This window comes from Homo sapiens, chromosome 18 (genome assembly GCF_000001405.40).
Source record: "Homo sapiens chromosome 18, GRCh38.p14 Primary Assembly".
NCBI classification, from domain to species: Eukaryota; Metazoa; Chordata; class Mammalia; order Primates; family Hominidae; genus Homo; species Homo sapiens.
Genome location: NC_000018.10, coordinates 77,649,202 through 77,659,617, shown reverse-complemented (window position 1 = coordinate 77,659,617; position 10,416 = coordinate 77,649,202). Strand labels below are relative to the sequence as shown.

Here is a 10,416-nt window from a genome sequence, read left to right as displayed (position 1 = left end):
CACTCAGATTCTCCCTTAGGAGTGAGGCACTAACCCTCAGCTTCCCGGGCGATGGCTGTCAAAGTTGCCAGCTAAGTCTCTTAGAGTTGCCCTTGGCTGAGGGGTCATCCTGTCCACACAACGCATCCCACGAGGCCTCCCAGCATCCATGGGTAGTGCCTTTGCTTCATGCTGGGCATCCTGAAGGGCCATTCCAGCCTCAGAGCTCCTCAGGGGCCTCGGTCACCTCACAACTCAATTCCTTCTTCTGCTCAAAACTGCTTCCCCCAGTCCCTGAAAGGTGCTCTCTCAGCAGCATCCTCAGTAAACCTCCGGCATGCAAGTCTCCCTCTGAGAGTGTTTCCCAGGAAGCCCAAATTACCATGCAAGATGGTAACAGTCAACACCCCTGGCTGCAGCACTGTGGGAATTTTCAGGACATTAGGCTGCTGGGACCTGGCCGCTGCCTTTGTATAGCACATGTGTTGAATCCCTCTTAATCTGCTGTAATGCTTGTCCCCAGGACTTGCACAGAAAGATGATTGTAAGGAAGACATCTCCACCCCATGACTTAGAAATCAAGGGGCACTGAAGAAACTAGGCAATGCAGGACAGCAGCCATCTGCAGGAGGGAGGTCCCTCTGCATGAGCTCACAGCACTTGAGCCATCTGGAGGAGGGAGGTCCCTCTGCATGAGCTCACAGCACTTGAGCCATCTGGAGGAGGGAGGTCCCTCTGCATGAGCTCACAGCACTTGGGTCTTTGGTCTTCAGAAACTGCTATCAGTTGCTCTCTGTTGGTGAGGTGGTGACCGTGAGGCACTGCCCAGATGCCCCTTCAGGAAGTCCCCCAACTCCTTCGGTGCTGCTTCCCTCCTCACACTGGGCCTTCCTGGGGCAGCCCCCGCCAGCATGGGGCTACACAGATTGGACCCTTTCTGGAACTTGGGGCACCCCGGGGCTCCCCATTGGCTTGGCTGAGCCTCCTTTGAGATTGCATCATAGTTCAACCTGTCCCTTTCCCCAGCCCTATATGCTTCCCTTCCCTCCCTTCCCCCGGGGTGGACTGCAGGAACTTCCCTAATTAATGTCCTGTGTGCTGACCCCTGCCTGCAAGGCAGTTCCAGGGATCTCAAACTGGAGGGGTAGTGACGTCACTTCTTGATAAACAATTGGCACCGTTCCACGGAAAGCTCCAGGAGGATTAGGCTCCCCTAGCTCCAGCGTTGAAGTGAGTCAACCTCATGCCATCTTCTGTGGACACCACGGTGTTCCCAGGAGTGACAGCAGTGACGGATCCAGCCCTTCCCCTGCAGGTACTCACCCAGGCCTACAGGCCTCCCACGGACAGGGAAAGATGCTTTCAACACGGGCAGAGAACTGTTGATGCTTCAAGTCTCTGCCATCTGAGCGGAACGTGTTGGGGGCGGAGATTAACCTGTCATCAGTTGCGTTCTGGCATCTTCCCCTAAACAGAGCTCGGGGTGTGCTGAGTCTCCATCCTTCCCCCAGCGCCGCCTCCTCCGTGTGTCCTGTCAGGGAGATGAGGTGACTTTGTGTTTCTTCGCAGCTATGGGGAGATGAGGAGGGAATCGCCGGGTGTTGCGTCTTCCCTGTGCACCTGGGCCCTTAATCGTTGATGCTGCAGAGTGGCAGGGCACCAGAGCCCACCACAAGCCCCCGTGGAATCTACTGAGCTGAGGCCCCTCCAGCTCAGGTGTGCAGTGTGTGGTCTGAAGCCAGCCCTTCAGTCCCTGGCCCTGCTGCCCGATCCCAGGCTTCAGACATGTGGGGGATCCTCCCTCCGCCGGCCCCAGAGCGCTCGGTGAGGCCAGCGGCCCGCGGACTCTGTCTCCTGTGCTCCAGTCTGGCTTCTGCCTCCAGGCGACCACGGCACAAACCAGAAACGGTGGCTGAGGGCGGTCTGCAGCCTCCTGAGTGGTTTCCTGGGGGCACTGATCTGCGCTGGCCGCTCCGGGCTTCTCCACCTGGGCTCTTCCCAGAGCCTCCCTGAGTGGCGCTGAGGCCCGGGCACCTGAGTCATCCCTTCCTCCTTTAAACCTCTTTCCCGCGTTCCTGGCCAGAGGGGTAGCCTGGGCTTCGCTTACCCTCTTTCGTGTCATTAGGACTGCATTCCTTACCTAACATGATCCTGTCCTTATAAAATGCCAGATCCTTTTCCCTCCAGAAACCGGTACCATGACCTACTTTCAAGGTGCAAGAGGGAAAGAAGAAATGTACAAATAAAGGAGCAAAAACCTATAGTTACTGCAAAATTAAGACACATTCTATTCATGTTTAATGTGGAGGAATTTCAAAAATCTATAGTTACTGCAAAATTAAGACACATCTATTCATGTTAATATAGAGGAATTTTAAGGAGAAAAAATAAAATAGATCATAATACCACCTTCTCTGGCTCCTAGTCTGAATGAATTCTTCTTGGATGCTCCAAATTAAATATCAAAATTTTCTATTTCAGGCACTCCTCAGTATGGCTTATGGAAATACTGTGGGATATTGAAAACAAGGAAACTCCTCACCAAGAGAATTACTTTCTCTCTTCATAAATGAACCATGCGCTGTGCACAACACAAGTGGTGTGAATAGAGCCACCTGGCCCTGACTCTTTAGAGAAGATCTGTTAATAGAAAAGCACATTTTCTGAAATGATCCATGTGTAGGAACGTGCCAGGAGCCTGGGACTAAGAGCACAATCTCTGAGTCCCACAGCCCCTACTGGGGGCTCCATCCCCAGCACTGCAAGAATGGGAACATAGATCCATGTAGACAACTGTGTCCTGAAGAAGTGCACACAAACAGACCAGCACCCCAAATTCAGGATGGCTTGGGCTGCATTTAGGGGTTCAGTGGTCACTCGTGCTGCATTTGGGAGTGTGTACTTCCTTCATGTATGGCTGATGGAGATGAGGAAATGTTGTCATCCTATGATCTGTAGGATGGATTCATTTTAAAAGGTGCTCAGAGCTATCTCGGCAGGCCTTGCCATCTCTCAGAGGTGATGAGAAGGTGCTGGGGAATGTGTAATCCCAACACATGTGTCTCCTGAGACAACACGTTAGGTGTTAGGAAGCTTAAGACGGCCCTCAAGGGGAGGCAATTCTGCAGGAATGCCCTGGTAAGAACCAGTTCCTCCGAACCTCCGTGAAAAGTGTCCTACATGGTGTCTCCACATCATATGACCAGGGCACCCCCAAAGCAGAATGGCCCTCAACAGCAATGGGAACCCACACCCCCAGAGCCCTTGCACCTGCAGAGGTCAAAGGTTACCTGGTATTCAAGGCCCCAGTTGACTGATCAGGATGTTCCCGGTAAGAGTGTCTTTTCTGACCCTCCCCAGAACTAGGTTTTACACACAAATTCAAGTTTTGAAGATTTATAGACGAGAGATGATATAATATCTGGGCCACAACAGAAAAAAGCATAAGCAGCCAGGCATGGTGGCTCATGCCTTTAATCCCAACACTTTGGGAGGCCAAGGCGGGAGAATTGCTTGAGCCCAGGAGTTTGAGACCAGCCTGGGCAACATAGTAAGGCCCCGTCTCCACAAAAAATACACAAAAAGCTTAGCCAGGCATGGTGGCACGTGCTTTTGTCCCAGTTAGTCAAGGGGCTGAGGTGGGAGAATCCTTTGAACCCAGGACTTTGAGTCTGCCGTGAGCCATGTTCATGCCACTGTCCTCCAGCCTGGACAACAAAGCAAAACCCTGTTCCCCCACCAAAAAAAAAACCATGAGCTCTCTAGAAGGAAACCACCTGATGCTGAGGATGGTATAAATTGCTCATCAAACAGAACTCCTGGTTGTGGAATTGTTCATCATGGAAAAGCCCTGAGGATGTTGCACAGAGAGCCCCTTCCCTTGTGCCCATTCACCACAAACTATTTTATGTGTCTACTCTAGCTCCAGTCTCAATGTCACAGGGCCAGTGCCCACAGCAGCACTCAGGGCGTCATCATCAACTAGAGTCAACAAGGGACACAGAGGCCTCATCCACTGACTGAGCCAGGGTTGCAGGGGCTTCCCAGGCATGCGCCATGCTGTGGACTGAATTATCTCCCCAGGATTTGCATATGGAAGCCTAACCTTCAGTATGATGGTGTTTGGAGATGAATCCTTTGGGAGGTGATGAGAGTGAGATGAGGTCATGAAGGAAGGGTGAGGTTAGTGTCTTTCTGATAGGAGACTCCAGGGCATGCCCTCTCTCTGTCTCTCCACCAAGGGAGGGCACAGTGAGACAGTAGCATCTGCAAGCTGGGAAGCCATGGTGGATTTAACTGGCTGTGGAGGTGGAAGTGGCTTTAACTGGATGTGGAGGCGGAGGATTTTTATGACTCTGGGTTTAATGGTTCTAGCACAAAGTGGAAGAGGTCATGAGGCCAAAATGTTGGCGTTTTGTCTGCTAAACTCAATGGTAGACCCTGGTCTTCCAAGTGGCCCATTGGAAGAGCCTTCAGCCCACATCCTTCGCTGACTGAACGCAGGTGCATTTGCTGCCTTCTGCTGCTGGAACACCTGCTGCAAACCCCTGCTGGCCTGAAACAACACAAATGCATGATCTCCCGTGATGGAGGCCAGAAGTCTGAAATGGAACTCATGGGCTGGTACTCAGATGTCAGCAGGCTGCTCCTTCTGGGGGCTCAGGAGAGCCCCCAGCCCCTCCCCTTCTCCAGCTCCTGGAGGCCACCTGGACTCCTCAGCCAGAAGCGCAGTCAATGCAACCGATTGGCATCTTCAATCTCTCTTTGGCTGCAGCCCTCAGCCTCTCTTTCCATGTTTAAAGGGTCCCATGGGTATATTGGGTCCATGTGGATAATCCCCCTAAATTAACACCAGCCTATTAGCATAATTAATTCTACCCCCTTTGCAAGCTGACATCATCATATTCATTGTTTCTGGGGATGACGTTGTGAGCATCTCTGGTGGGAGAAGGAGAAGCATTATTCTGCCAGCCACTGTAAGATGGTCAGGAAATGGGGCCGAACTGGTGGCAACCAGGGAGTATCCACAGTTTCCCCTGTGTGATGAGAGGGAGAGCGGCTCACTGTGGAAAAAAAGGAAAGCCAGAGAAGCCTCTTCATCAACCCACAGATTCAGCCAAACTCACGAAGCAGTGGGGCCACTCCAGAAGGCACCAGGGCATCCGGAGCCAGGAGGTAGCATCATCTGTCAGTGCCAGTGGCACAACCGGACAGGAAGCCCCTCTTCTTGCCTTTGCCTCTTGCCACCTGCTGGGAGAATTTAGTGCTTATTCATCTTAGGGTTGGAGGAGAAAGAAGGGACTCTAGGGAGGTTTACTCAGAATACAATCCAGTTTGGGGGCCAGTGATGGAAGCACACATTCCCAGTGCAGCATTGGGATAGGGCAGTTTACTTAGGGCTTTTTAATTGATATATCGGGATTCAGCTGACCCTTCTCTGCAGTGCCTCCCACACCGTGGCCTTGTGACAGGCAGCCCACCATGTAAGACCCAGAGATTTTGACAGGGCCCATGTTTAGGAGGGTGATGCTTCTCCATCCACGCCTCGCTGTGCAGGGCACCTGTCCCTGCCTGGGTAGCAGTGGGGTTTGTGCACCTCAGCTTCGGGCACCGAGAATAACCTCTCAGGGCTCCCTGTGAACCTGGGCACGTCACCCAGCCTCGGAAGGTCATGGGTCCTGGGGTGACCCCGACACATGATCCCTTTCAGATGCCAGGGTCAAATCATGGTAGCCCCACACCCCAGCCAAGCGTGTCAAAGCGGGCGTGGGGCCAGTGAGGTGGGAGCAGGAATCTGATCAGGAGCTTTGGGGAAGTGTTTCTCACGTCCAAGAAAAAAACTGAGACTCTTCTTTGCGTCTGGGTATTTTCTCATCTGGTTGTGGCCCTTAGAAAGGCTGCATCTAACCGGCTACAAGTCTTCGGGTGTAGCCAGCACACATGGGGATGTGGGACCGGGAGACACAGGGAACAGAGACAAAAGCCACATCACTGTCCCTGGAACCCACGGCTTGTTGTTCAGTTAAAACAACAACAACAAGACGTGTGTGTGAGTGAAGTTGTTATATGACTGATGTGATGGCCTTCCCGTTCCTATCGATCAGGCATCCTGACTGACACGATACCCAAGCTCGTTGAAAATTATTCCAGAAATCTGAATATATGTTATAGGTATAATGTATTCTTAGCTAATGCATTATTACAAACTAATCTCCTCATTGCTATGTTAGATCATGAAAAATGGCAGGATGTTAAAACATACAGGATTTGAGTCTCTTTATCTTAAATATTCATAAATAAACTATTTTCTATGAAACTGTAAATTGCATCAAAAAGAAATATAAAGCCAATATGTGTATATCTTGTTGGGGGTGGGGGTGAAGAAGTAATCACAGTTTATTTCCACTAAAGTTTTAGGTTACTATACCTAAAGTTGGTTTACCTGAGTTCTATCAAGGAATAAATTTTACTTGTTACAAAAAAAGTTACAAAATGTTACATTTTTAAATAAAATTATAATAATTATTTCAAAACACATAATGATGAAAATCCAAAAATCAATCCTATTTATAAAACTATTGAAGTCTTGATATCTAAGATCTGACAAGACCAACATTAATTACGAGTAGACATGTAACAATTATAAATAAAATATTGAATGAGCCTCATAGGATATTAAAATAATAACATAAAACATCTTAATTTTGGGAATGTAAGACTGATTTAATAGCCTAATAGAATATATCTGTTGATCAAAAATAATATCCGTAAGAGTAGATAATCTAAAGATATTCGATAAAGTTCTGTATTATTTCTAAAATAAGCCTATTGTTTAGAGATAAAGGATTATTCTTTCTGTAATCAAAGATGCTCATTTTAAACAAACGGTAATGTTACATTTATAATAAATTAATATGTTTTACATCAGAAACATTGCAAATACACTTTATAAAATATAGAGGAAAAGATTATTATTGATAATCCCATGGCTGAATTCACTACTGCTTCATTTTCCTTCTTTATTTTACTTTACATTGCTGTAATCATATCATATTTATAAATCTTTACTTTTGTTTCACTTAAAGTATGTCATCAGCATTTCCAAGGGATAAAATAATCCTTACACACGTCAGTGCAATGGTTGCATAAGGTTCTCCTAGTGGTCTACCAGATGTAAGTAAACATTACTACCTCCAATTGACTGATGTGGGATCTCAGAGAGTTCAACTGGCTGGTCAGTGGTCCCCTCTGCATACCACAGCTGCACCAGGACCAGTCCACGAAAAGCTGAGGCACTCCCAGCACAGCCTCACAAGCTTACGGCAACTACTTAAAGACATTCTTGAGGCCTCTCTTAACTTGTGTTACCTAGCTTATCCTTGTGCTATGATTTTATCCTTGTGCTATAATGTTATCCTTGTGCTGTGATATTTTAGGAGTAAATCTGTTTGGACTTGGCATTCTCCATGTATGTTCCTATTACCTTTTCAGAGGATAAAATTTATGAGTTATACCTAGACTGTAGATTACAGAAGTTCTAATATCCATTCAACACCCAGAGGTTACAGACAGGATGATGATGAGCAAGTAGGTTTATTAATTAAATATATATATGTAACATGTCAGATCTCTGAGTATACTACTTATTTGTGTATCTCTTTTATGTATGAAGTGCTTCAGTTGACACATTCTTGTGACCTTCTTGTGGGTGGAGAAATTCCAGTAAGAACCAGGTCTATTTCATGGTGTCTATAAACAGAACTTGAAGCCTCTGCAGCATTAACTTTTTTTTTTTTTTTTTTTTTTCTTTTTTTGCTGGTGTAGACCCACTTGTGGATTTTTCCAGACTACATCAAGGGTTCTCTCTGAAGAATAGCCTCATGTGTTCACCCTTCCTGCGTGTCCTCACCCAAGGGGGCAACACCTGGTCTCAGCAGGCTCAGGATAAGCCTGTCCGTCGGCCTCCCGGCGTCTGCGTCTGCGTCTGCCTCTGCCTGGTCAGGGAGCAGCAGGAGCCGGGTAAGTGAGGCAGGCAGGCCTGGGGGTCTCCTCGGGTGGGCAGCGTGCCGGGCACACCAAGGGGTTTCTCCCTCCTTCCCCACCTAGGTCACCTGGCTTGGCGGGATGATGACTTACACTAACAACTAAAGGCATGAATAATAAGTCGTAGCTAATATTTATTGATTATGGATGATGTCTAGGCTGTTTAGGTTTCTGATCACATTTAATCCCCACAAACCCCTGTAAGACAAGCATTATTATTATCTCTATTTCACAAATGAGAGCAACAAGGCTGGGAGGGGGTTTGAAACTCGTCTTAGCTTTCAATGATGCAACAATGAATTAAACCAGGTGCACCTGGCGCCAAACCCATGCTCGTCACCATGCTCCTCACTACGGTTGCTCCTTGCAACCAATTTCTGTATATATTTTTTAATAATAATAAGAAGAACAAACAAAAAATCAAATGCAAGCCATGGAATTTTCAATGTTTCTTAATAAAAACTAAAGCGAAGGCTTCAAATCCCCCGTAGTCTGTAACTGTGACTAAAATGTGTGGCTGAGCCCCAGGGAGAAAGCGTCCAGCTGCTCGCGGTCCCGGCTTCTTCCCGGGTCTCCTCCCGCCGCGGCAGCGGGCAGTGCTCCCGGGAGGCCAGCAGGGGGCAGTGCTGGCGCGTGTCGGGAGAGGAGCCGAGGGCATGGCCGGCAGCTGGGAGCCTCGGCCCGCGTCCTGCAGGGTCCTGACGCAGGAACCGTGTGCTCTCCACACAAACATTGGGAAGGAAAGTACGGCGGTTAATTTGCAAAAAAAGGTTTCTCTCTTCCTCTGTATAGAGATATTGATATGTACATGTGTCTCTATCTATGTAGACATGAGGATGGATGGATGGATGGACGAATAAATGCATGGATGGACGGATAAATGGATAAATGGGTGATAAATGGATAGATGGATGGATGGATCGGTGGGGGGAATGGATGGGTGGGTGGATGGATGGATGGATGGATGGATGGGTGGGGGGAATGGATGGGTGGGTGGGTAGATGGATGGATGGATTGGTGGGGGGAATGTATGGGTGGGTAGATGGATGGATGGGTAGGTGGGTTCATGGATGGATGGATGGATGGATGGATGGATGGTGGATGAATGGGTGGGTAGATGAATGGATGGGTGGATGGATGAACACATGGGTGGGTGGGTGAATGGATGGGTGGAGGGATGGATGGATGGATGGATGGATGGATGAATAGATGGGTGGAGGGTGGGAGGAAGGGAAAGATGGATAGGTGGGTGGATAGGTAGGTGGGTGAGCGGATGAATGGATTGATAGATGGGTGGGTGGGTGGATGGGTGGGGGGGATGGAGGATGGGTGGGTGGAAGGGTAGGGGGGACGAGTGGGTGGGTGGATAGATGGATAGATGGATGGATGGATGGATGGATGGATGAATAGATGGATGGATGAATGGGTGGGTGGGTGGGTGGATTGTGTCTTTCTATGCATGTCTATAAAGGAAGATATACAGAGACTTAGGTAGGTAGGTAGAGTAGTGAGAGATTGGATCGTGGCTAAATTTAGGGGACTTTTTAAAGACTTATTTTAGACATGGTAATTTAAACATTTTAAGTCAACATAGATTTTAGATTTGTATTGTGCAGTTATTTTTTATTGACTCACCTTTTCCTACCCTCTCAATGAAATATGAATGACAATAGAATAAGGCATGTAAAGTTATAATACTGCTGGAAATCAGCAGTATTGATGCATGATTACCCAGGTACAATGACACAATTCCACTAGTCAAACCTAAGTAACACTGGGTCGGGACGTCAGGCTGAAAGGTGAAGGGGTGACTCCCACTTCCTCTGTATTGACCTAGCCTAGAGATGTTGGCTTTTCTCTGGCAGGAAGGGAAGACCCCAGCACCTCACAGAGCAGGTGCTTCTCCTCAGCTGACTGCCTCTGTCTCCCTCTTTAAGATGGCCCATCACAAGCCTGCAGCAGTCCATTCCAGCTAACAGCAGAGTGGACAAAAGAGTCATACCTGCATTTTGCCGGGTGCCCTGTCTCACGCCTGTAATCCCAGCACTTTGGGAGGCCGAGGTGGGCGGATCACGAGGTCAGGAGATTGAGACCATCCTGGCTAACATGGTGAAACCCCGTCTCTACTAAAAAATACAAAAAATTAGCCGGGCGTGGTGGCAGGCACCTGTAGTCCCAGCTCCTCGGGAGTCTGAGGCAGGAGAATGAATGGCGTGAACCCAGGAGCCGGAGCTTGCAGTGAGCCGAGATCGAGCCACTGCACTCCAGCCTAGGCGACAGAACGAGACTCCGTCTCAAAAAAAGAAGAAAAAAAAAAAAGAGTCATACCTGCGTTTTAGGATGGCCTCGGGGAAAGGCAGGCATCCAGACTACCATGACTGTGGGCCGTGTGCC

At 48.5% G+C, this 10,416-nt stretch overlaps 3 annotated features.

Annotated features, from left to right (window-relative positions):
* Positions 382 to 1,343: an enhancer, noted in NCBI's record as "H3K4me1 hESC enhancer chr18:75370231-75371192 (GRCh37/hg19 assembly coordinates)". NCBI's record gives its function as "activates a minimal SCP1, AML or CMV promoter by ChIP-STARR-seq in naive and primed H9 embryonic stem cells {active_cell/tissue: H9 hESC(naive and primed)}" and the evidence as "EXISTENCE:reporter gene assay evidence [ECO:0000049][PMID:30033119]".
* Positions 8,548 to 8,607: a silencer, noted in NCBI's record as "silent region_9566". NCBI's record gives its function as "represses an Ori minimal core promoter by ATAC-STARR-seq in GM12878 lymphoblastoid cells {active_cell/tissue: GM12878}" and the evidence as "EXISTENCE:reporter gene assay evidence [ECO:0000049][PMID:35858748]".
* Positions 8,668 to 8,717: a silencer, noted in NCBI's record as "silent region_9565". NCBI's record gives its function as "represses an Ori minimal core promoter by ATAC-STARR-seq in GM12878 lymphoblastoid cells {active_cell/tissue: GM12878}" and the evidence as "EXISTENCE:reporter gene assay evidence [ECO:0000049][PMID:35858748]".